This window comes from Homo sapiens, chromosome 3, assembly GCF_000001405.40.
Source record: "Homo sapiens chromosome 3, GRCh38.p14 Primary Assembly".
NCBI lineage: Eukaryota > Metazoa > Chordata > Mammalia > Primates > Hominidae > Homo > Homo sapiens.
The window spans coordinates 99,662,786-99,690,749 of NC_000003.12; the positions used below are offsets into that span (position 1 = coordinate 99,662,786).

Genomic DNA, 27,964 nt, shown 5'->3' on the forward strand with positions numbered 1-27,964 from the left:
TTGTAGATAATGCATCACCCCAATCTCTGCCTTCATCTTCACATGGAGTTCTCCCTGTGTGCATATTTGTCTCTGTCCCCAAATTTCCCCTTTTTATAAGGACCCCAATCATATTGGAGTAGGGGCTGCTTAAGGAAGAAAAACAATGGTATCTCTGATCCGGATGCATTCTTTCGACTTTCTCAAAGATATCATGTTTTCACTCCCGGTAGATGACTCCACTCTGACAAATGCAGGTGTAAAAGGATTTCGGATATTTGATCACAAGTCCTGAGAATAATGAGGAATGCTTATAGAGAATGACTAAGTATTCCTCAACAGAGTCAACACCTATTATAGCCCACTCCTTACTTTAAAAAAATAATGTTTTTAAATTTTGTTTTATTGTTTTTTGAGAGGTGAGGTCTCACTCTGTTGTTGCCCAGGCTAAAGTGCAGTGGTGCAATCAGAGCTCACTGCAGCCTCGAACTCCTAGGCTCAAGCAGTCCTCTCACCTCAGCCTCCCGAGCAGCTGAAACTACAGGTGCAGGCCACCAAGCCCAGCTCACTCCTCACTTTTACTAACCCGGTGCCAGAACAGGGCTCACTCCCTTTGCTGTTTGCTCTAGGGCCTCTCAAAATTGTCGTTTCCTGCTCTATGTTTTGCTAATGTTGGGCTGCAAAATTCAAGCAAATACCAGTTGTTTGGGGATTTTTTTTTTAAAGGAATTCTAATCCAAGCGTTAGTGGCAGTGTTTTGTTTTGTCTTTTCGCTGTGGTAAGCTCTATAAATTTACCAAATTCCAATGCAAGCTGATGTCTAACTCTTTGACCTTTAAATCATATTTTCCAACAATACTTACTGTCATTTTCCCTATTTAATTGATTTCTGAAATTATGAGAAATCTATACTAGAGGAAACAAACTATGAAAGAAAGTAGTGAAGATGGTAAAATTTTTCCCATGGAGAGAGAGAGATCTGCATCCCTTATTGAAGCCAGGTTTTGTTTTTTGGGGAGAATATTTTTAATCTTAAATTTTTGTAAAATTTCTCCACACATCTAAGAAAAATGATTAATGTAGGTTATTTTTTAATGCATACTATCTTTGATTAAATCTATGAGTTCTATCAAATTATGTCCTGCCCTACCACTAATAAACTCCCCTACCACAGTTTCCTGCACACAATGGACACTCCCTCACAATTCATTGATTTGGGGGTTGGGAAGGAGTTCCAACACAAAAGGCCTAACCCTAGTTACCAAATACTCAGTGTGCATAACAGCAACGTTAGCACTGAGTCTATCCATGGGACCAAAGTGGAATTTCTAAGTACATTCTCCCATCATAGAAAGGACATGGTTAAACAGAATCCACTGTGCAACTATACAATTGTTTGTTGTTCACTATTGGTCTTCCCTCACTTGAATGGAAGCTCTCAAGAGCAGGGACTTTGTTTTTGTTCCCTGCTTTCTGTTTCCCCAAGGCCTGGAGCAATGCCAGGCACAACTTAGGGCCTCAACTACTATTTGTTGAATGAATTAATGTAACAAGATATTTTTCTCCAATCACAGCTTTCAGACTGGCTCTACTAAGCCATCTTTTGCTGTCCTTTAATGACATCTTAGGTAGATTCTATAACTTCGTGGTCACTTTCAGCAATTAAAGGCTCAATCCCGTTTAAAACTGCACATGTACCCTAAAACTTAAAGTATAATAAAAAAAAAATAAAATAAAAAAAAAACTTCAACCTCAAATTCAATGCAAATCTTTCTTCTCTCCCACCAACAGCTATATTTGTACCCTGCTCTTTTACTCCTCCTCCCAGCTCAGTGCCCTGTTGCAGATGCTGGGCATGTCCCGACTCTGACATCCCTCTTCCCACTTCCCTGTGTGGAGACCTAGGTCCTCAAGTGTTTGGGGATGGGAGGGGAGAGAAGAAAGGGACTAGCTTTTTAAAAATTGTATTCAACCTGCTATCTTCAACCTGCTTTCCATCGACTGAAGAATCTTAATTGCATAGTATCAACTGGCTGTCAAATATTTATGCATGGCCATGCAGCCCCAGTGCTGCTTCTCTCCAGGACATAAGTGGGAGTTCTTTGGAGAATGCTGGAGGGAATGAAGGGGAGGAGTGCGCCTCTCCACTGCATTTTTCCTTGAAGCAGAAACTTAGCTTCCAACGTCCTTCAGATGCCAGGTCCCACCTGCAGCTTCTTGCTCTCTCCTGGGAATTTCAGTCCAGCTACCATCTCTAAAGTCCACTTGACTCCCAAGAAACTCACACATCCTCATCACATCCAAAAGTGGGATGTGAGCTTCTCCATGCTCCCTCATCCCCTTCCATGTTGCCATTTCTCAGACTAGAAGTCCAAGGAGCAGGTGCCAGGCTCTCTCCTTCTTGCATGTATTCTCAACTCTCACAAGAGAGCTTCTTGCAGCTGCCTGCCTCTCTACTCCCAGCCTCTCACTTGGCTTTGAGAAATAGAAAGTACTCACCATCTCCTCCCTCTCACAGAAAAGCTTCTCACCATGATCGCTGACTTCTCTACAGGCAGATGGTTTTAGTCTCCAACTTTCCCCCATCTTTATGTCCTTTCTCAGATAACATGGAGGAGAGGGAAAGTGTTAGGTGTCTTTGCCATAGGGCTGGTTCTTCTGGGGTCTCTTAGTACATCTACCTTTGGGTATAAGGAGCGATTGGTGAATCTTTTTAGACTTGATCACCTTTCTGTTTTCAACTGGGACCACACACACCAATTTCAGTGCAACAGGAAAAGTCCCATCAGCATCCAGTTACTTATGCCACATAAAATATTGCCTTTTATATTCACTCCTCTCTCAGGGGCTAGCATAGTGCCTTGTTTTGGAAGCAGTGGGGAGACAAAAAATACTTGTTGAATTAATTCTTTTTTTTTTTTTTTTTTTTTTTTTGAGACACAGTTTCACTCTTTTTGCCCGGGCTGGAGGGCAATGGCACAATCTCGGCTCACTGCAACCTCCGCCTCCCGGGTTCAAGCAATTCTCCTGCCTCAGCTTCCCAGGTAGCTGGGATTACAGGTGCCCGCTGCCACACTTAGCTAATTTTTTTTTTTTTTTTTTACTTAGTAGAGATGGGGTTTCGCCATGTTGGCCAGGCTGGTCTCGAACTTCTAACCTCAAGTGATCTGCCCGCCTCGGACTCCTAAAGTGCTGGGATTACAGGTGTGAGCCACCACGCCCAGCCTGAATTAATTATTGATAGAGCAGTAGGTGCCTGAGATGTTGATCAGAAATTCCAGGCTTCCAGCTGAAATCTTCTGGAAGAAACCTGTAGGTGTGATGTCTGGAATCCTGATGAAATCTTGGAGACTTCAGACCACTGCATGAATATCTAAACCCCACTCTGAACCTTCACAAGGTTCTTGGCTGCATGGCTTCCAAGGTGCTCTAATCATCAAAATATCTCCCATGTGAGGAAATAACAGGGACAATATTTTAAAAATTAAATCCATACTTAGAAGGAAATTAAAAATGAAACTGTTTGATAATGAGACAGTCTTTCATCTCTGCTTGCTGCAAGGTCCTTGAGCTCCTTGAGCTTCAAAATGTCTCAGCTCCTGGCATCGAATGCCATCAGAATACTGAAGCAGAACATTTGTTGCATAATCCTCCTTCTTGAGATTTGATTCATATCCTGGGTCTTGTCACTGGGTTGTCTTTCTTCCACACTCAGATAAAGTGGGACAGTTGATATGGTTTTGCTTTCACATTCACAGTTTCACCAACTTTTTGGGATCCTCCTCAAACACATTAGACACATGTATCTGTAATATACATCCAGGGAACAAAAATTTAGACTAGTGTGGAAAGTTAAGGTGGGGGAGAGTGGATTAATCTAATTTTGTTTGTTTCCACTTTCTGTTGAAATTTGTCTCATATGCTTATACAACCCACTTCCCTCTCTGTCCTTCCTTTGTTCCCTCACTATTAAGGGGTAATATCTACTTTTCTCAAAGAAATGCTATAGGAACTAAGTAGAAAAATATTTGTGTAATGAACTTTCAAGTTTATGGAAGAAATTCCCTTTGCTCTACCAACAAGTTCTCAAACTAAATACATGACATTTGGCAAGCCTTAACCTCTAGTCTTTATTTTCCTTTTCTATCAATACAGGACCAGGATAATTTATTGTCCATTTATTATTTATTCTGCAGCATGTTCTGTGGAGAGCATTTATTATATGTTATTATTTTATTTTGTATTCATTATATGTATATGAAAAGAATAATAATCTGCATTTTGTACATGAAGAAACAGATTCAGGAAGGTTAAATAACTTGCACGGCATGTGGTTTTGGCTAGTCAATGACAAAACCTAAATCCAAACCCTCATTTATTTAGTTCCAAACCCTAGTTCTTAACTCCTACAGTTTCCTATCAAATGAGCTCTGAGCTTCCTAAACTATTCCTTTGGGTTCCTTGTTTTGAGCCATGGAACTATTTTATTTTCTTGTAAGAGGCATCATTAAGCATTTTTTGTTGCTGGTTCCATACGTAATAAAAAATAGCATACCTTAATTTTTGCAACACTTTTGTGTTGTGAGTGATGGAAATAAAAGAAATATCAGGAAGATTTATCTTCTTTGACCTTAGGACTCAAAAATACTCTACTTAAACAAGTGGGGTTTTGTTGTTGTTGTGTATGTTAGAGATTCCCTCAGATACAGGTTGTACAGCTTTCCTTAGAAGATCATCTGTCGCTTACAATTAGGAGGAAGAATTTTTCTCTGTCTGATGTGGCTCTCTTCTATTCTAACGTATTGTCAGTACTTTAGAGTGAATTTGATCACTTTTTCCTGTTCCTTTCTTAAGACAGGAACTAATAAGACAGGATGCGCTTAAGGGAAGATACAGAAGTATTGTGTTGAGAAAGCACAAGGAATGTTAATTCTTTCTTGTAATTAGTGTTTCAGTGGTTGTCTGTCTTCACAGATTAAAAATAGAAGAAATAAAATGTCCATAAATGGGCAGGTGGGTAGCTCAAGTCTTACATAAAAGAAAAACAAGTGCACTTCCTCATTTACTCCTCTTTCAAATAACAAATATTCAGTATCATCTCTGCCTAGGTTTTTATCTCCTTGTAGAAATAATGCATAAGAAATTAGCTCCAACTGATAGATACACTGATTTCATAAAAAAAATTATCTAATATGCTTAATAAGAACTATTTTCTCCATATGAGCTGGACCAGAATGTGAAAAATGTCCATCAGCATTTGAGTTAATAATGATTTTCCTATCAGCTAAGCATTCAGTAAAAGGGAAGAAATATTTGAAAAGATAACACAGCAAATTTAAAAAAATAGAAATGAGAATTTGTAGACCTCCCTTTTTTTAAACTTTGGCAATGCTATTATAAATAGCATTTTTAAAAACTGTCTGGCTAAAACAAAACAAATGTTTCCTGTCAGTGTGGAAAAAGAAATTCCTGACTAAAATTGTGTTATCAGGTTTTCGGTCCATTTAATTAGGAAAGCTGTTAAATGTCATGCTACATGTCATCAAATGCCCTTTTAAAAAATGATTTCAATTTTTCATAAGTTTATTCCAACTTTTGTGTTTTCATTATTTAATCCCCCTTGGGGATTTCTTTTAAGTAAAGTCGTCATTTTTACAAGTGAAAAATACACTATTCTTGCCATAACTACACATCAGACTTAAAAATATACCAGACTTAAAAAGAATATAGAAACATATCGAAGATCAAGTCATCTTCTAAAACATAATGCCATTTCACATGTATCTTTAATATTTACTTTTAAGGAGAAAAACTGAGATATGGAAACTACTAGAGCTGAGCTCTAATTAAGTCTAACTCTAATTTTTCACATTAAAAAAACCTGACCCTCAGAACTTGAATGAAAAGAAGTTTATAAAGTTGGTGGCAGATGATTTCCTTTCTGCAAATCCAGTGAACTTACTTTACTACCATACTGTTCAGAAAAAATTTAATAAGTAGCTGTATAGTAATATGCCAGGCACAGTATCAGCTTCTGTTGATACAATGATGAATAACACAGGGTGTCAGGTCTAAAGAAGTTAGAATCTAAAGAAGAGTAAAATAAACAAATTGACAAGTAAATTACTGCATAACACATTACTTACAAACTTAACAGCATAAAACAATACACATTTATTATATCGCAGCTTTAGTAGGTCAGAAATTGGGCATAGCTTAACTGGATCCTCTGCTTCAGGGTCCCTCACAAGGCTGCAATCCAAGGTGTTACTGAAGCTGAGGTATCATCTGAAAATTCAACTGGAGAAAGATTCACCTTCAAGCCCATATGGCTTTTTAAGACCTTGTCTTAAAAAAATTATATATATATATATATATATATAGAGGGAGAGAGAGAGAGAGAGAGAGAGAGAGAGAGGGACAAAGGGATAATTGGGGGATATGTTAGAATTTATCTGCCACATAAATTTACAGTAAAACATGATCAATGCTGTGACAGAGAAAAGCACAGGGGCAGTAGAATCACAGGAGATACACTGTAAACCAAACTAAGGAGGTTGTCATTTGAGTTGAATTTTAAAGAATGAAAACTCATTAGATCAATGGAAAAATGAAGGTCATTCCAGACAGGAGCAGGGTCTGTAAATGCATTGAGTCATTAAAAAGCAAGCATTGTTAATGTCTGTAGTTAAATTGGAATGGCATAATATCCATTAACTGAGATAATTGAGAAGAATTATGTTTGCTTAGAATCAGCAAATTTTAGAGTTTAAGACTATAAAGGGAGAAACTAAGGCTCAGAGATAATAGGTCTAGCAAATGATATATATTCAATAAATGATGAATAAATAAATGAATGAAAGAATGAACTGCCTTTGTAGTACTAGAAATGGAATTCCACTTCCATATCCTACATAATAACCATATAAGTCAACCTCTATCTCTTTAAGAAAGATAGGAGAGACAAAATTACAAGTGCTAAAGAGATCGACAGAGGGAAGCTATGTCACAACCAGAACCTGACGGAGCAGAAACAAAGTTTATATTTCATTTCTAATATCTAATTGCCATGGTGTGATCCCTGCTCTTTGAGGGGTGGGCTTGGGAGGAGAAACTGCTTTATAGATACATAGAGTAATGATGAAATTTTTACAACTAGTTCTCTCACTTCATTCCAGCGGAAAAAATGTTTTCTAGAGCCTTCTTGAACTACAAAATTCTGTATAATTTCTGACTCAAAAACAGGCAATACATCACCTCCAGGACCCAAAGAAGAGATGGTTTATATTTCTGTAGATTCATATCTGACTCAGCATTTTTGCCTTGGTGTGAAATATATACATATTCTTGTATTTAGCTAAAGAGTTTATTTTGCAATGAGGTAAAGACAAGGTAGCATTAAACTGACACTAGCAGTAATCACTAAAAAGAAAAATATTTTTAAGTAAGAACCATTATGGGAAGTTTTTTGAGCCAAAAATGAATTTAGTAGTAACAGCCATATCTCTTTTTTCATCTCAAGTATGTTTGCATGAAATACATTGAATAGAACTACACATTCACGATTCTTCCATTCATGTGAAGTCAGACCTAATAATAGTCAAATTTAGTCATCCTTTGCTAGGTTGATGAGTAAACATACTTGGAACCAGTTTTTTGGAGAGAAAGCTGGTGAGTCTTAGAGCCTGTAAAGATACCCTTTTTCTTATTATTAATATTAGTTTTGATTGATAAATCATAATTATAAACATTTATGTGGTACAATGTGATTTTTTGATATATGTATACAGTGTGGAATGATTAAACCAAAATAATTAACATACCCATCACTTCATTTAGTTGTCACTTTTTGTGGTGAGATATTTGAACTTCGCTTTCTTAGTTATTTTGAACTATACAACACATTGTTATTGAAAATAGTCACCCTGCTGTACAGCTAATCTCAAAACCTCTTCCTCCTGTCTGTGCCCTTTTCATCAACAAGCCCTCATTTCCTCCCTCCCCATACCCTCAGCCCCTGCTAACTATTATTCTATTCTCTACTTGCATGAGTTCAACTTTTTTAGAGTCCACATATATATCTATGGCTGGTTTAAGGTACTCCCATTCACTGCCTCTTGAGATGGTGTATTATTTGCCTTCTTTCCTTCCCCAGTTGTAGCACATTCAGGCTCATCCGGGGTGTGTGTGTGTGTGTGTGTTTGTGTGTGTGAATTTGAGTAATGTGTGTGTGTGTTAGAGATGTGTGTGTTGGGGGGGTTATTTAAAAGTATAACTCCTTTCTGCAAATTCTCTATAAATCTACAACTGAATCAAAATCCTCAAGGAAAAAAATTTTTAAAAGAATATGGAGCATGAACTAATGGGAAGGAAGATGATCTCAAAGGAATAGGAATAAAATTATTAAAACAAATATGAAAAATACAAGTAACAAGTAAGTTTATGTGATTTCAAAACATTGTTTGAGAGGACTGTAGAGAAGATAATTCTTCAGATGTGGTAAGGCTCAAAAACATTTTTTAATGTCTTTGATGAGAGGATGTTCTAAGGTAGAAAACTTAATGCTCTTGATGTGTACATCAGTTTTTTTAACTAACAAAAAAGTTACATATATTTGTGGTTTCCAACATGATGTTTTGATATTAACATACATTGTGGAATAACCAAATCAAGCTACTTAACATATTCATTACCTCATATTTTTTGTGGAGAACACTTAAAATCTCTCAGTAATCTTCAAGTATACAATATGTTAACTGTAGTCATTATGATGTACAATAGATCCCTTGTACTTGAAATGGTGTGTCTTTTCACCAACATCTTCCCAGTCCCCCACCACCTACCCCATAGTAACCACTATTTTACTCTGTTTCTATGAGTTTGACTTTTTTATACTCCATGTAACAAGTGTTACGAAGGATGTGGAGAAAATGGAACCATTGTACATTGTTGGTGGGAATGTAAATTGGTACAACCATTATGGGAAACAGTAAGAAGGTTCTTCACATAATTAAAAATAGACCTACCATATGACCCAGTAATCTACCACTGGGTGTATATATCCAAAGAGAATGAGATCAGTATGTCAAGATATCTGCACCCCCATGTTCATTACAGAATAACTCAAACTAGCCAAGATATAGACATCAAATTTTGAGAAAAGCAAGTATTCAATTATGTAGAATATACCCAACCTGCTACAAGAGAAAAAAGCAGGTGTTTGGAAACTTCATTCAATTTTATTGTCTTCTGTAGAACACACTATTGAATTATGCTGAGTTAACCACTTTAGAGCCTGACAGCTTTTAACAGAGAACAGACACAAGCAATCTAGAACTGGTGAAACCTGAAGGGCTCCACAGGGGCAAACACAAAACTCATCCATAGGAAGTTTCCACAGCTCAGAGCAGTAAGAATTAATTAACGTCCTTGTTTTCAGAAAAGCTATCGAAAAGAGAGGTAGAACACCTATTCTCTGTTTCAATTTCTAAATTTCTTATATGTAGGCAACATCGTTTCTTCTTTTTTGGAAAAAAATAACTATTACTTTGATTCATATTTTGGTACTTCCATGTCAATTGGAACTACTCATAGCTATCTTCCATGTTTTTCTAACTTCTCCTGTATTTTCCATCTTTTTATCTCATTGGATTACATTCTGAGTGCTTTCTTTATGTAGTCAGCTTATCTAGTCCTTTAATTCATCTCTTGAGGTTTTTTAAAAATTTTATAAAACATTTTCTTTTTAATAAATATATTTTATTTCTAGAATTTATATTTGGTTCCTTTATTTAAAAAATGCTTTTTTTTAGTGTGCCCTTGTTTTCTCATAAACTTTATTCACTCCATTATCATTGATCATTCTTACACTTATTTTTAAGTCTTTTAAAGATAATTATACTACCAGTAATTTAATTTATCTAATAGAATTCTTCCATTTGTTGCATTAACTAACTTCCTTAAGCAGGGAGTCTCTGCTATTACTTTATAATTTTGGTCTATGAGCTCATCTTCAGAGAGTTGTCTCACACCTGTATGCTGATTATTCCATGAACTGTGGAAATTCCTTTTGGAGTAGTTCTCCATTTTCTTTTGTGGAGCTCTATACATTTCACCAGTTCCAGACAATTTTTACCTTAGACTTGTGTTCGTGCACTGCTTGGATTATGATTAAGATCCCATGAGTAGCTCAGATTTAGACTTTCAATTTCTGCAAGAGTCTCTCCACCCATGGCCCAGGGAAGATCATCTCTTTCCATTCCATATCCCCATGCTATATCCCAGGACTGTCTCTGAACCAGATTTTCTAGCTCCCTTCATGAATGGGACAGACTATTTCCAGATATATACCTCAAGTGTACAAAGAACTTTTGACCTACGATTTAGACATGTAGACTCTCATTTTTGTGGATTTTTTTTTAACAATTAAGAAATGCTTTGTAAGTAAAACTGACACAAGGTCATAATTTTATCAAAATCACTACATGTGATTACTGAATGGGCAACACATAGCTCAGTATCACTTACTTTGATGCCAAAATGTGAGGAAGAGGGGCTTGGTTGCCCTCCTTGATCAAGAGTAAAAGTCCTTAAATTTTCTAGCTAAAAAGACTCAAAAGACTTTTCAGACTTGGATATTAGGGACATTGTGCTTCCTTTCAAAATCCATTATGGGACTATCACCCATGAGTTTGTCTAAATCATTCTGTACCTCTTTATATATTAAAACAGTTTCTTGCCTTTGGTATGAATAGTATGATTTTCTTATTCACTGCATTAAACAGTATTAGTCTTTACATTTACATAAAAGTAAATTTTGAAGAACAATATTTTGGGGAGGAAATTCTTTTTCTTGTTTTTTATTATTTTATTTTCCTGCCTTTCACTCTGATTGTAAGATAATTATTAGTTTTGGAGGATTTCTTTTAGAATATCATTTTATGTGCCATTTTAATAGAGGTAGCAGAGCATAGGTATTAAGATTCAATTCCCAGTTCTGGAGTCAGACTGCCTGGGTTTGAATTCAGCCAATTACTACTGATTGTGTGACGTGGGGAAGATTTTTAACCTCTGTGTACCTCAGTTTCCATATCTGAACAATAAGGATGATGATGTTATTAATAGTGCCTACCACATAAGTTTATAAAAAGGGCTAAATAAGTTATTACACATAACGCATTTAGAATAGTTCCCCATACATGTTACATATTATTATATTTCAAATTTTCATGAGGTCTTTTTGCACAGACATCTCCATAACCTAGCCCAATGATTTCATGAATTTTGGGAAATTTTCAAGGCATGTGGAAAGAAACAATCCTATGCTATCAACTTTTATGATCTCTTGCTTTTTCATGAATGGGTGCTTTGAAAATTATGAATCCAAATAACCCTTCCTTTTTTCAATCAATACTTTCATTGAGACTATTTATAGGAAATCTCTCGGGAATGGAGGGAGTTGAGGTAACATAAGAACCTTTCAGCTTTGTGGCCAGAGTGTGCCTTCATACCTCCCTGCTGGTCCTATGGGCCAAGATAAACATGCCTGGCAAGGAATGCCTTGCTTACTCCACCCTGTCAACTAGGAGGTAAAGGTTTTGGACTGTGGTATTGCTACTCCACCCAACTTCTGTTCCATTTTTAATATACCTTTGAGATAAAGTGTATTGTCTCCTTTTTTAAAAAAAAAAAAGCCTTGAAGGTGTGGCTGACAAGAAGGAAAGCAATACCCTGCCACTGGCTCACACATGAAAAGTCTTCCAGCCCCAGATCATGACTTGACTCTCTATTCTGGCTATGCAGCTCAGGCTCTACATTTTGTTCGGTAAAAGCAACAACACTCACATACCTCACCACCTGGAAAAAATGCTAGAAATTGTCCCTGGCAAACACCCAGGAATGTAATTGAGCTCACAATGGCCAGCACAGAAAGAATTGCTTTCCTCAACAACTGTGTTGCTGAAAGTCTGCATGAAAATCAAATGTTTGAAGTTGGATCATTTCTTAAGTGCATTGGGAATTTGCTACTTAATGAATGCTACAGAGACTTATTTATTGAATAATGATAAAGTAATAGTGATCCTTTTTATCTATTTTTCACATTTAGAATTTTGAAATCTAGTTTTCTTTAAAGCAAGACACACCCATAGCATTAGTTTCTCCACTACATGTGTCATCTAAGCTTTGGGTGCTCAGTTTTCTTTCGGGGAATACTAGGGGATGAGATTCAATGACCTCTGCAGTTCCTTCCAACTTGAAATTCACTATGTCTAACTAAGGCAGTCTAGGAATAACTAGAGATAAGCCCTCTGGTTTGGTTATTTCTGATTTTCTCATTTCATCCATAATCTGAGAAACTGTGTGCTTCTAGCATTAGTTTCTCACATAGCTCCATGTGAAGCTTCACAGTTGGGCTGGCATGACTGTCTTGGTGGGTATGACACAGAAAGCTAGAGCCATAGTAAACTGATATTTTGAAGCTCCCTCAGAGATCTCTTTCAATGGCTATCTTTCCTTCCTTATTTTTGGCCATGAGAAAAATTATTATAGAAGATTAGGAGTGCCTCTAACAATTTTATAAGTTAGGACCTTCTTTCTGGATGTTTTCTGAGGCATAAAGCACTTTATACAATATTTTGTTATTTGTTATGAGCGCCAGTGATGCAATAAAGGGAAAACCATATTGGCTCTACTTCATCTACTGGAAAAGTGCACTATAAGTTAATTTGGTTACTTGCCAAAATCATCCAGCAGATTGCTAATGAAGCCAAAGATACTCAATTTTGTGACAGAATTACTAAGCTACACTGCTTGAAGTTAAAATGTCTGACACCAGGTATTTTTTAGTTTGTAACTTTCCTTACTATCTCCACTGAACATCATCCTCTTCATCCAGGGAGCTCACACGTTCACCAACTCACCCTTGAAGTCATCTCAAGAACAAAAGACAACTGAAAGGTAATATTTCAAATATTAATTAGATATTTGCGGTGTGCCTCAGTTCACCCAACCCATAAGCCTTTAAACACAAATGTAAGTAGAATTTTGACCCCCTCTAAGGCTGAATAAATACTCACACATTAGTGTGAGCATTTGAAGTCATAGAGATAAAAAAGAGTGTGTGATTCATGTCAGCATTATTTCATCTCTTCAATGACATAAATAAATGTGATAATCTATGTGAAATGTCTTGGCGAACTTAAAAGAATGAATAATCATATCTGGTGTTATCATTGCATACAGGAATAATATTAATAGCATTGTAAACTATCATCTGACATTAAAAAGACCATTAAGCTATATTATAAAACACTTTATACCAGTAAATATGACAATTTATGTGAAATTATTACCAAACTACACAGAAAGGAATGGAAAATATAAATAGTCCTATATTACTTTTAAAAAACTAAATCATTTTTGTAAACCTTCTTACAAAGAAAACTCCACATCCAGGTAGCTTCGCCAGTGAATTTGAAGATGAAATAACACCAATTTCACACAACATTCCCAAAGAATAATAAAAAGTGATAATAGGTATTTTCCTCTTATTTATTAGCACAGCATAATCTTGATCCCAAAACCTGGCAAGAACATTACAAGAAAGGAAAATAGCAGATACATGGTTGCAAAATGATCAAGTAGGCTTTTTTCCAGGACTAGAAGAATGGTTTAGGATTCAAAAATCAATCAATGTAATTTACCACATTAATAAAAAAGAAAATCACAAAATAAATTCAATAGATTCAGAAAAGGGGTTTGATAACATTTAATACACATTCATGACAAAAAGTGCCTAGCAAACCAAGAAGACTTCCTTGACATGACAAAGTGAATACAAAATTTCTGTGCAAACATTATAGTTAATTATAACTTTTGGAAGAAGACAAGAATGCCCACTATCACCACTGTTATTCAAATTATGCTAGAGGTCCTATTGTGTGTATTAAGGTAAGAAAGAGAAATAAGAGGCATAAGGAATTGGAATTGGAAAGGAAAAATATAATTTTCATTATTTATTGTTAGAATTAATAACTGCATTTATCTAGCCCATTGGATATAATATCAATATTCAAAAATCCATTAACTTCTCTATATAAGGAATAAACAAATAGAAAAATGAAACTTTTTGAAAGATACCATTTACAGTAGCAATTAAAACATCAATTTTATGCTGGGTGCAGTGGCTTACACCTGTAATGCCACCACTTTGGGAGGCCAAGGCAGGTGGATCACTTAAGCCCAAGAGTTTGAGACAAGCCTAGGCAACATGGCAAAACCCTGTCTGTACAAAAAGAAAAAGAGAGAGAGAGAGAGAGAGGGAGAAAGAAATTATATATATGTAACCTATATATATAATTATATATAAACACATCAATTACATATATATATATAAGCACATCAATTTTAGCAGGTGTAAGCAAAGGAATTTAAAGAATGAACATCAAGAAATGACTGTTTTAAGAGTTACAATTTGATGTGACAGGTGCTTGAAAATACAACCAAAATCAATACATAAATATAACTCATTTTTAATAATCCAGTGTCCAAATCTTTCTTATTCTTGCTCTCATCTGTTAGCTTCTAGATTTCTCAAATGCAAAATATCACAGCTATTTGAAAATTCACCAGTCATTACCTAACACCAGATAACAGGAATGGCCTTCAGGAAACTTTCCACAGAAGCCTTGGTTTTAAATTGATTTTATTTACAGGGAGAGTGAAAAATAAGGATAAATTAATACACAATAGTCCAAAGTCTCTTAAAGGCATAATCTTACATGAAATCAGATAGCTTCTTAATGCAGAACATCTTATAGTATGTCACATGAAAATATACAAAGTGTTTACGGAAGCAATTTTGAACTAATAGAGAATTTCTGAATACTACGTCAGGCAAGGTGGAAAGTACTCAAATAATGTGTGAATTTATGATGAATTTGCTAGACTTCAGGGCCAACTTGAAATCCTCTTTTTACTCCTCCAGACGTTTCCATACAGTTCCTCGCTCAGAACAGCTTCAGCTGTCTATGGGAAGGCTTCACAAGACAAAGAGCTAGGACTTGGCCATTTACACAAAACCAAAAGTGAATTACCCAGAGTGTGCTGGCAGAGAGACTTGAATGTAAGGACATGGGAAAATCTACACAGGTTGCCAATGGTTTGTGACTGTGAGAAAAGAAAAGAAAAATTAAAGAAAATCTTACTAGCATAATTCACATTGGACAACATGAGCACATTCCAGTCAATCCACTTTATAGACATGATCTCACTGGTCTCCCCAACATCCCTACAAGGAAATGAGGGGGACCAGTATGGCTCCACCCTTAGGTCAAAAGCCCATCCTTCACTCCCACTTGTGGCTGTGAGTGGGTGGAACACATTTAAACAGGGGAACAAATTACCATCTTCCTTGCTTTTGACCCTTTAACATGCGGGTGAGCAAGTCTGCCTTTTCCCTGCTTGAGGCCATACAATTCCCAAAACAACTTGTCTGAAATGTTGGGGGCTGAGTCATTGGCCAGTGATAGTTTTCAAACAACTGCTGGTTTGTTTCTCAACCACTGCTTGGCCATGCTGACTTGGACACAATACAGCATGTAATAAAAGTGCCTGGGATATTTTCCTCCTTGGCCCAGAGAAGACTTTTAGAAGGAAAGACAATGGTGAATACGGAAGGGGAGATGAATGCACTAGAAAGATATGTTGCCAGCATTGTGCTCAGCCGAAGAGAAGCTTTGAGACCAAGAAATGTGAGCATATTGGGCATCTAGAAGTTCTCCCAGATAGTAGCGTAGATCTCCATTTTTCTGGGTTGTTTGTTGTTGTTGTTTGTTGTTGTCATTTTCTGCACTATGCTGCCTCTCAAGACTCCCTTATGTGTGCTATAAAAAAAAATCCATGACAGAATGGTCTATTCTCCACAAAAATAGTTACTATTGTTGTTGAGGTGTTACTAATAGTTACTAGTAGTTACAAAAATAGTTACTAATGTTGTTGAGGTGAAGTCAATGGGAAAGATAGTAGTAAAATAGCAAAAATGTATTAGATAGTATTTTTCACATTGGGAATATAAGACAATTCATTCAAAAACCAACTCCTTAGGATTCATTTTATTATCTTACACTTAAAAATATGTTTAGATTTTTCTTTCTTGCACTAGAAATTAAATTGTCCTATATATTGAGGGATGAAAAGCACAGATGATTATCCGTATAAATATTGACACACATACTCACTCTATCCACATAGCTATCTGTTATGGATAAAGAACTCGGCAACTTCTAGCAGTCATCTGAGATGAGCACCATATGTGCATTATTTCACTAAAGCTTTCAGAGCTTGAGAAAAATAGCCTGAAGAATAAGATTGTTTCTTTCTGAGCCAAGGTTGCAATCTTCCAAGTCCAAGATGTGCTTGAAAATACTCATTAGGTAATTGTCAAAGCCTAGGAAGACCAGTTTAAGAATATGAAATAATATTACTACTGACTTCTCTTTTTGTGTTCAATCCAGATGGAAGCTGGACACATGAGAAGTGACGTTTGTATAATAGCAAAGAAAAGAACAGAGAACAAGAAAGCAAAACCCTTCACACCTATGTTCTCTTTATAGGATCTCATTACTGTTTGCTCTCTATAATCCCCAGAAAATAGAAAAAGTATATCTATCCAATAAGTTGTGGAAAGTCTCCCTCTGTCCTTCTATAATAGAGTTTCCAGTCATTGTTAGACAACTGCATTTCATTCACCAATAGTGGCCTATTGAAATCATCAACAGGAGAAACAGTTGTTAATATCAAATAAAGAGTCTTGCAATGGAAGTCAAAATACTTTACTCTTTCACTAACTTGGTGTATGATCTTGAGCAAGTCATTTAACCTCTCTAAGTTTGCTTGCCTCATCTGTCAAACAAGAGAGATGAGATAAATTATCTCCACAGGCATTTTCAGAACTATTCTAGTCTTTTTGGAAATTGGTTTATATTTGTAGAAAAGGTTCAATCTGTTTCTGGCATGGCAGTGACCAAGTCAGAATTTCTATTTGGGAGATGAGAAAAACACATTAACAAGATTAATTACTGTAGCTGAAAGATACATAAATATGGATTGGGGTGTATTTTTAATACCACAAAAACTTCCATTCCTGAGTTACTTCATTAGCAACTGTTACTTCAACCATCTAGGTTGAGGTTTTCCAGTAATTCTAGGTCAGCAATTATGGACCCTACTTATTTTCTTTTTTTTATTATACTTTAAGTTCTAGGGTACATGTGCACAATGTGCAGGTCTGTTACATATGTATACATGTGCCATGTTGGTGTGCTGCACCCATTAACTCATCATTTACATTAGGTATATCTCCTAATGCTATCCCTCCCACCTCCCCCAACCCCATGACAGGCCCCGGTGTGTGACGTTCCCCTTCCTGTGTCCAAGTGTTCTCATTGTTCAATTCCCACCTATGAGTGAGAACAGGCGGTGTTTGGTTTTCTGTCTTTGCGATAGTTTGCTCAGAATGATGGTTTCCAGCTTCATCTATGTCCCTACAAAGGACATGAACTCATTCTTTTTTATGGCTGCATAGTATTCCATGGTGTATATGTGCCACATTTTCTTAATCCAGTCTACCATTGATGGACATTTGGGTTGGTTCCAAGTCTTTGCTATTGTGAATAGTGCCGCAATAAACATACATGTGCATGTGTCTTCATAGCAGCATGATTTATAATCCTTTGGGTATATACCCAGTAATGGGATGGCTGGGTCAAATGGTATTTCTAGTTCTAGATCCTTGAGGAATCGCCACACTGTCTTCCACAATGGTTGAGCTAGTTTACAGTCCCACCAACAGTGTAAAAGTATTCCTATTTCTCCACATCCTCTCCAGCACCTGTTGTTTCCTGACTTTTTAATGATTGCCATTCTAACTGGTGTGAGATGGTATCTCATTGTGGTTTTGATTTGCATTTCTGTATACTATAAGGCTCCAGTAACCAAAACAGCATGGTACTGGTACCAAAACAGAGATATAGACCAATGGAACAGAACAGAGCCCTCAGAAATAATACCACACATCTACAACCATCTGATCTCTGACAAACCTTACAGAAACAAGAAATGGAGAAAGGATTTCCTATTTAATAAATGATGCTAGAAAAACTGGCTAGCCATATGTAGAAAGCTGAAACTGGATCCCTTCCTTACACCTTATACAAAAATTAATTCAAGATGGATTGAAGACTTAAATGTTAGACCTAAAACCCTAAAAACCCTAGAAGAAAACCTAGGCAATACTATTCAGGACATAGGCATGGGCAAGGACTTCATGACTAAAACACCAAAAGCAATGGCAACAAAAGCCAAAATTGACAAATGAGATCTAATTAAACTAAAGAGCTTCTGCACAGCAAAATAAACTACCATCAGAGTGAACAGGCAACCTACAGAATGGGAGAAAATTTTTACAATCTATCCATCTGACAAAGGGCTAATATCCAGAATCTGCAAAGAACTTAAACAAATTTACAAGAAAAAAAATCAAACAACCCCATCAAAAAGTGGGCGAAGGATATGAACAGACACTTCTCAAAAGCAGACCTTACTTATTTGCTGAGAAAAATCTCTTGTATTTTCCATCCGTAAAATTTTCACACCAGTGGCCTTGTTCCATAGGGTCCAAAGGAGACTGAAAGATTGGAGGGAGGAATTAAAAAAAAGATTTATGAAGAAAGTTTAAAGGAGGTAGAAAGAGTTTGAGTGGGGAGTGTATTTAGTCTAGAAACAAAAACTATGAAGTGTGGCTTAATAAAAGTCATCAAGAATATGAAAGACCAGCTGCTCTCTATTTCCTCAAAGACTAAAACACAAGAAGACTGCTTTCAATTACAACAGCAGGTGGTGCTTTGGGTTAGACCCAAATTATTTTCTGGTTGGGTACCCGAAACAAGTCACTAAGGGAGATTTTCACCACTTTAAGACTAAGACAGATATGAGGCTAATATTAGCTCATGTGTATGAAGGGCTTCTATACTGAGGCTTGTGCTAAGTATATTACATTGGTTATCATCTTTCATTCACAACAGCCCTGTAAAAAAAGTGTTACCACTATTCTCATTTTGGAGATGAGAAGACTAAGAGTCACCATATGGCTAGCAAGCAGCAGAGTGTGATATGCAACCAGGGTGTTGGACTCCAGAGCCAGCTCTCTTCACCATGAGGCTCTGCTGCCCTGAGTCTCACATAATTAGCTGCAGTTTTCTTTGGAATAAGAAAGGGAAACTATTGAATTTAACTTTCAAATCTAGGAAGGCCTTTTATACAAATCCGAAGTTCTCCATCTCTACCAACTGTGAAATAACTAGAAGTGCCGGCCGGGTTCGGTGGGTCATGCCTGTAATCCCAGCACTTTCGGAGGCCAAGGCGGGAGGATGACTTGAGGGCAGGAGTTCAAGACCAGCTTGGGCAACATGGTGAAACCTTGTCTCTACTAAAAAACAAAAAGAATTAGCTGGGCCTGGCGGTGCACGCCTGTAATCCCAGCTACTCGGGAGTCTGAGATGGCAGAATGGCTTGAGCCCTGGGTGGTCAAGGCTGCAGTGAGCCAAGATTGTGCCACTGCACTCCAGCCTGGATGACAGAGCAAGGCCCTGTCTCAATAATAATAATAATGATAATAATTAGAAGTGTCTTAAGCATGCTTTTGTCACAGTATTATAATCACCTGCTCACTAACAAGGACATGAAACATGTTACATCATGATTCTGTATTATAAATATTTTAAATCCTTATAAGGTTGGGGTACTTCTGGTCTGACTTTTATGTTCAGAATTAAGTAAAAGGAATGTGAAATTAAAAAAAAAAAAAAGAAGTGCCTTAAGTGGTTTAGAGTTGTAGAAAGATCATAGAACATATAAGCTCTCACCAGCTTTGTGACCTCAGGCATCTCCGTTAAGCTCTCCAATGCTCAATTTCCTCTCTTACCTATTGAACAGTATCTGTTGAGCATGTACACTCTCACATCAGAAATTCAATGGTAAATAAAATCTGAAAAATCAGAAAAATAATAACAACCACACAGCATTGTTGTGTTTAGCACTCAGTGGAGCACGAGCTCCCTCCCCACTTTACCTTCTGAATAAGGGATTTGGGTTGCAGAGGAAAGAACTCGCTGACATTAAGTGTGAAATATGCCACGAAGTGTAGAAAAAATAGAATAGAGAATCATTATCTTCTGTATGAACTTTTTGAAAGTCCAGAGAGAAAAATCACCAGTAGGGTCATTGTTTGCTTTCTCCTTTGTATGTTCAGAATTAAATAACATGTATGTGAAATTTTTTAAAAAGAAGTGTCTTAAGTGGTTTGGAGTTGTAGAATTCTCATAGAATTTTTTCATAGTTTTATTATAGTACTTATCATATTTTAATTATTTTTACATGCCTTTCTCCCCCATAAGACTCTATATTCTACAAGTCAAAGTCTGTCCTTTGCTCCTTTCCATATTTACCAAAATTTTACCCAGCCAGGGCTTGGCACATAATAGCTACCAATAAAATATCTGTTAAAGAATGATTGAATAAAAAATAAATAAATGAAAGTTCTCAGCTGGAAAAGAAGGAAAAGAAAATCACAGGAGATAATATATAAACTGGAACTTATTTCACAAACTAAGACGTATTTCATTGAAAATAAGACTTTTCATTGAAAATGGAAATAAGTTTTTGTTTCATTTAGATGTAGAAAGACCTATAATTAGGCACAATGTGTAAGCATCCCTCATGATTGTTTAAAACTTCAGAACTCTCTTTTTGGCAGCTCTTGAGGGACACGATAAATTTTAGGGTTTTTTTTTTCAAAGGAGTGGGTTGTCCTTCTGGGAAGCAGGTGGATAGGACCACAAGATTTCTTCCAGCCTGAGCTTCAGTGACTCAGTAATTCTAAATGAACCCTCAGGAATCCTCTCAATCAAATGATTCTTTCCAGTTACCCTGACTGTGCCACAAACAAGCTCACATTGAAAGAAAAGCCCAAATATTTAACCCAATATTGTCATATTGCAAACATTCTGTTTTTACCTAAGTGCATGCTTTCAGCCCAACAGAAGTGCTGTGACTGGACTTTGTCTCTATAAGACCAAAACAATAAGCTAAAAAAAAACCAACATTTCATGAAATTAGGTTTTGGGGCCAAAAACTGAGATGAAGTTTTAGTTTGTTTGTTTGTTTTGTTCAGTTTTAGTGAATTGACTATGTACACTGTTCAGAGCGGTCAAGCAGGTCCAGGTTCTGATTCTTGGACACTACTTCAGTGCTCAGTGCTCTCGGGTCTGAAATCCCATGATGTTCTGGACTTGTTTAGGCCTGTCATGTAGCAGGTGATGGAAGGCCACCATGCCACCGAATCAAATTTAGAGCATGAATTTACAAGAAGGGCTCTCTTCTCAAATTTAGTCACTGTGTAATGAGCTCCTCCTGGGTGCCTAGTACTGTACTGGACATTTTATATATATTCTCTATATCCCTAAAAACAATCTTGTAAGGCAAGGGTCATTATTTCTATTTTAAATGTGTAAAATTGGACAAATTTCCTAAGGCTATCTGTCTAGCTACCAAGTTAGAGTCAGGATTCAGACTCAAATGTATCTCTCTGCCTGCCTTCCTAAAGCAGGAGGGTTGGGGTACTGGCATCATTTATTGGCATTTGGTCCTGAAAGCTGTAAAAAGATAGAACAGTATACATAAGGCATATTGAATGAGCAATTGTTAATCTTTATTAAGAGTTTATCACTCAATTCAACCCAGTTGTTCATCTTTTTCCTGCTGAAATGGACAGTAGTCAGATCTCAATAACCCGTTTCCCATTGCTATTTGTGAATTGTCAGTATTTATTTTAATGATGGAATCATTTCTTAAGGTAGAGTTGTATGTTTACTTTATAATGTCTGAATTTGGCTCCTTGTAGAGTAATTTTCTGAACGGGAATTGTGCTTCCATTACCTAATTGCAAAAAGTTGCCAAAATTTAAAAAGGCACTGGGAAGAAGAGGCGGTACAAGAATTCAAGTGGATCTCAAGGTCTCACTCTTAAAAGAAATGGAAATATTTTTGGACTGGATTAGCATGACTGAATTATCATCCTATTTGCTGGCGTAATTGCAGTTGGGAGGGGAGAATGAAAGGCATTGCTTTTCTACCCACTTCCTCCAGTGATACTTAAAACTGAACTATGCTATTCATAAAGTAAATCTTTCTGAGTAGTTTGCAGATTTTACCGTCTTTAAAAATGTTAATATACCATTTTAGTACCTCATTCTGAGGAATAAATTTATTCTTAATATAATAAAAACTCAGAAAAAAATGACATCAACCAACTAAAATGAAAGCTCAGACTCTAAGAAAACAAATGCAGATGATGCAAAATACAGCATTGGAAGCTAATGGAAAGGAATACTTCTTAACACTGTCTTACCATCATCAAAAGCAATGAGAAGGAATAAGAATTTACATGCTTTTGGTATGCCCCAAATCTTAATATCTTCCAAATGCCATACATTTCAGGCTTCTACTTTTAATTTTCTATGTAGAATCATGAAATAATATTATTAGTCACATTATACTGGATAGTAAAGTTAATATATTATTTCTATCCTTGCTAATCTTATGTCTTTTTTAGTTTCTGCATGATCTTAGAAATTTGCCAAACATAAACGTGTCAACGTGAAGTTAAGAAGTGAGACTCACCCGTCCCTGCACAGTCTATACTATGCCCTTTCGCAATAGGTATTTTTTCTACCTTTTCTCTCTGTCTCATGTTATGGAATTGTAGAGTCTTTTTATTAATTCTCCTATGTTGGTTTTCCATTTAGAATTCTTCTTCTGATACCTTTCCACATAGTGTAAATGATTTTGTTTTCAATCCATACATACAGAACTTTCCTCTGGATACTAAAAGCCTATGGCCAAATCATGTTGATTTTATTTATTTAAGTCTACAATATGGTAATAAATAGAGTAAGTTCTTAATAAGAGTGCTAGTTTATTTACCATGGCAGTTCTCTGTGATTAAATAAATATGAATATAATAGTCAGACTACTTTACCCATGTGAGGCACATAGCAAGGGAGTTGGCAACATTTTTAACCATATGAGAGGTTTTATTTTTATCTTTGTTGTTTTCAATATTACATAAAATACTTTTGGCTCTAATAAATCTTAATATTATCTCCCTCATCAAGTAGTAGGACAAAATCTCCTAGAGGTAGCTAGTTTTGAAAAATCCACACAAAACCAAAATCATTGTAATCAATTGTAACCAAGCATCAACTCACTTCATCAGAACTAATCACATAGCCCTAAATAAGTCCTAAAATTTCCCAGACAATGCACAGTAAATTTAAACAACATGTCGCATCCTCAAAATAATAATAGAACCATTTTTTACCATTAGTTACATTTTTTACCAAAGACCTGCAGACATCTTTTAATATAATTTACTACAATACACTATGTAATACTAATGATACATTTCATTCAATTTAGTATAAACCTTGTTAACAATGTATGAAAACAAAGAAAAGAGAACAATAAAGTAGCTAATCATTTATTACACTCCAAGTTGCTTTATTTAATAGATTTCAGAGAGAGTAAATTTAGAGAAAGATTGAATTCACAAAGGAGGAAAGACCCTGGGGAGAGGGTCTTATGAAAACCAGAAGTCAAAGAAATGCCTTCCTTATCCTATCCTAAGAAGAACAGTGAAGATTCAGTAGGAGGTCTCTCAAGGCCCAGAGGCAAAGGAATACAGTCTTCAGAGCAAGAGAACATTAGGAGCAAGTGGACTGGACCACACAGTGGGCACTCCTGCTATAAGTGCTCAGTGTGATCATCACAATGACTTTAGCTGAGCTCTATAACTGCTCATCTCTTATTACTTTTTTTCTTTTTTAAGACAGGGCCTCACTCTGTCACCCAGTGGCGTGATCACAGCTCACTGTGGCCTCAGCCTCCCTAGCCTTAGGTGATCCTCCCATCTCAGCCTCCCAAGTAGGTGGGACTACAGGCACATGCCACCATGCCTGGCTAATTTTTGTTTGTTTGTTTTTGGGGGGGGTTCTGTTTGTTTGTTTTTGAGACAGAGTCTCACTCTTGCTGCCCAGGCTGCAGAGCAATGACACGATCTTGGCTCACTGCAACCCCTGCCTCCCTCCCAAAGTGCTGGGATTACAGGCATGAGCCATTACACCCAGCCAATTTTTTTGTTTTTTATAGAGTAGGGAGTTTCGCTATGTTGCCCAGGCTGGTCTTGAACTCCTGCACTCAAGCGATCCTCCTGCCTTAGTCTCCCAAAGTGCTGGGATTACAGGCAGGAGCCACGGCATCCGGCCTGTAACTGTCCATCTCTGAAAATCCAAAGGCAATGTGGAGCCACCTAGCGGCAGACCAACCAATGGTTTCCAGGTCAAAGAATTAAAATTCAAGTCTTTCCTCAACTACTTATTGCCTTTTTGACATTAGACAAGTCACTGAAACTCTTTTAGCCCATATTTCCTAATCTGCAAAATATTGATAATAACAGTGTTTGTGCTAAGGATTGTATGATAATGGAGGCAAAATGCACTTTGTGTGCTGTTAGGCATCATGCAAATGTTACTTATCCTTATCTGTTCACGTGTGTGTGTGTGTAAAACTTTCACATGTCACAAATGGAGAGGAGTAGATGAGAGAATTGCACTCCATGCGATGAGGTTGAGAGTGGGGAGCTATGCCTGGGCAGGAAGCTGCGGATGTGCACACCAGAGCACCTAGGAATATATACACTAGGTGCTGGCAGTAGAAGACTCTGCTGTGCTCTTAATATCATCCAATTGCTTGCACACGTAGCTGATACAGACCAGGGAAAACTGACACCATCTTTATTCAGGGTTCAAACTGAAAAGCAGCATTTCACTGAGGATTTGGTGAGAAATGTATTATACTAATAACATTATAATAACAACCAGCTTAACATAGTTGTAAAAATTAATGAAACCATTTAAGCAAGAGCATAATAAATGTTTATCATTTTGGCAATTTTGCAAATAGTTGTTCAGCTACTGTCACAATAGTTCCTTGTACTCTGCATCTTCCAACATACTTGATGGATTATTATCCCCATAAAGTGCCCGTAAAAGAAAGCAGCACAAGAGAGTTGGCTTATTTAGGATTCTATCAACCAGCTGTTACATCCACCAGCACTTCACCCGTATGATCATCAATATTCATGCAAAATCCCAAAATGCCTCCCAAACATTGGAATAAAATGTTCCAAATAGCTATAGGTTTAGCTGTGTTTTGTGTTTTAATACAGTGAAAATATGAAATCTATTTATGTTATATGTGGAAACACATATCTGCTCTCAAATTATGCCAAATGATAATGTATTTCTTGCTTACTGTTGTAACAAACCACCACAAATTTAGTGTCATCGAACAACACAAATTTAGTATCTTACCATTCTGGAGATCAGAAATCCACAAAAGTTTTACAGAGCTAAAACCAAGGTGTCAATAGGGCTGCATTCCTTCTGGTGGCTCCTGGGGCAAATGTTTCCTTGTCTTTCCAGCTTCTGAAGCTGCCTGCATTTCTTATCTTGTGGACTCTTCTTCCAACTTCAGAGCGCATCGTTCCAACCTCTGCTTTCGGCAGCACATCTTCCTTTCTGACTTTTACCCTCCCTCTATAAGAACCCTGGTGATCAGATTGGGCCCACCCAAGCAATCCAGGATAGTCACCCCATCTCAGGATCTCAAGATCCTTAACTTAATACACCTGCAAAGTCCCCTTTGCCATGGAAAACAATATATTCATAGATTCTGGGGATTGAGACATGAACATTTTGGGAGGTTCATTATTCAGCATACCACGGCTAGTTTACTGTATTATTATTACTTCATCTCTGAAGGAAAATAATGCATTGGCAGCATTAAAAATTTTGTTCAAATATGCCCAGTGAGCCCGTGTGATTGAGCTCCGTCATCATCATGTTCAATTCTTCCTGCCTAAGTCAGTCCAACTCAGGATTTCTCACCCTCAGCACTATTGAAATTTGGACCAGATATTTCTTTGCTGTAGGAGGCTGACCTGTGCATTGTGAGAGTTTTAGAAACATCCCTGGACTTTTACTAGATGCCCATAGACATTCTCCCCTCCCCAGCTGTGACAATCAAAAGTGTCTCCACACATAGCCAAATGTCCCATAGATGGACAAAAATCACCCTCAGTAGAGAACCACTATTCTACACAGAAAGCAGCCAAATTATTGTAATGGCCCCTTTAAGGCAATAACTCTTAGAAAGCAAAAGATCCAGCGATATTAATTAATGACTAATTTAAAAGGGCAAGTGTAAGTCATTTATCTCAGCATTTTTGGCTAAATTTACTACTAATTTTATTTGTCCAAGGAAGTCAGAGTTGAGTTTTATTCACTGACACTAACTCATCTACATGGCCTGTTCGAGTGTAGGGTTACATATGAGGCATTTAATTACTTGGATATCAGACTAAGAGTAGAAACTTAGTATGCAACATCTCCAAAAGCTGTGAGCCCTTAGTGGCAGGAATCAAGTCATACTGTCTTTGTTTCCACAGACCATAATCTCCTCAATCTTAACCCAGCATTATTTCCATTATACTGTGATTGTTCTCAGGCACAGAGGTGATAGCATCTCTAAAAAGATACAGACCAGGCCCTGGAACCCATTTCTTGGTTAATCCCCTAGGCATTAATTCCCAAGCTTTAGTCATTTGTACACTTCTTTTCATAATTTTTGCCATTATTTATTTGGAATTTATCTTTAAATTGACTTACTTTTTTAAACATAGATACTACTTTAGCAATATGTAATTCTTCTACAACACATTAAATTAAATATATGGCTATAAATTATTTAACATTCATCCATGTGCCATTTAAAAGTTTCTCAATATTAGATGCACATATGATACTTTGAAAAACACAGACCTGGATGCAACCAACATCAGCAAAGCCTGAATTTTTAACTTTGAACTCTAAAAATGTCTTCCCATCTATTCAACTTCCTCACAGACGAGAGAACAGCAAAGGACAGTGAACCAAACTGCTCATGGAGAAATGCTGAAAGCGGTCACACCCAGAAAGACAAACTCGGGCTACTGTTTACACACTTTACCTAAAAATCTTCCTTTTTATTTTTCTTTAAAATATGACAGTTAAAATGCATGCCCTTAAAAAACAGCATTTCCAAACAATTTGTACTGACACATTCCACATAAGACATCAGCCCGATAACTATAGACAAAGCAAACTGAGAAATTAGCATTTCCCAAAGTGTATGCCACTGTTTGTTAGTTCTACAGGATCTTAATAGGCATTACATGAGGAAGAGTGGGTGGAGAATGGGGTAAGATCTGTGGTCAAATAGGATTAGGAAATGTTATTAAACAAAGTTAAAATGACATTATAAAACTTCTGATACTTTAATATTCTTCTGTGCTTTGTGAAACTTAAAGGAAAATATATATTAATCAGTCAGTCCTAAATTTATGTGATAAAAAACATTTTTTTCTCTAAGAGCATTTCATGAGACTAATGTCCTAAGGAATGTATTTTGGGAAATCCTGATCTATCTAGATTAGAAAAAATTTTATTTTCCTCAGATGAAGGTGGGAACAAATTCTAGGGTAATGGATATTTTAAAATGCATTCTACCTTAGTTTTTAAAGTCCCTAGAGGTACAGGCTCTCTTTTCTTGATTAACTTTGTTAATCACTGCCTTGCACCCCCAGGGACTCAAAAAATATTATTGGATGTGGATGATGAACATGAAAGACAATGTGGCAGTTATTTTACTGGTGGTAGCATGGTTTGTATTGGCTACCCCTTTGCTTTGAGAAGTAATTAACTTTCATTTTATCTTAACTCATAATGTTCCACAGAATGTGGGCCCTAGTCATCTAAAAACAATCTTTGTTG

The 27,964-nt window shown here is 36.6% G+C and overlaps 1 protein-coding gene across 2 annotated transcripts in view, besides 2 other annotated features; it reads left to right on the forward strand.

The window, feature by feature from the left end:
* Positions 1–27,964, forward strand: part of COL8A1 (collagen type VIII alpha 1 chain) — a 160,624-nt gene that overhangs the window by 24,192 nt on the left and 108,468 nt on the right. Inside the window, exon 2 of one of the 2 annotated variants that reach the window (NM_001850.5) lies at positions 12,875–12,936. The exons of the other annotated variant lie outside the window; for it this stretch is intronic. The gene's annotated coding sequence lies outside the window, so the exon portion shown is untranslated. The remainder of the gene's footprint in view (positions 1–12,874; positions 12,937–27,964) is intronic. 2 annotated transcript variants of the gene reach the window in all.
* Positions 24,152–24,241: an enhancer, noted in NCBI's record as "active region_20146". NCBI's record gives its function as "activates an Ori minimal core promoter by ATAC-STARR-seq in GM12878 lymphoblastoid cells {active_cell/tissue: GM12878}" and the evidence as "EXISTENCE:reporter gene assay evidence [ECO:0000049][PMID:35858748]".
* Positions 24,292–24,351: an enhancer, noted in NCBI's record as "active region_20147". NCBI's record gives its function as "activates an Ori minimal core promoter by ATAC-STARR-seq in GM12878 lymphoblastoid cells {active_cell/tissue: GM12878}" and the evidence as "EXISTENCE:reporter gene assay evidence [ECO:0000049][PMID:35858748]".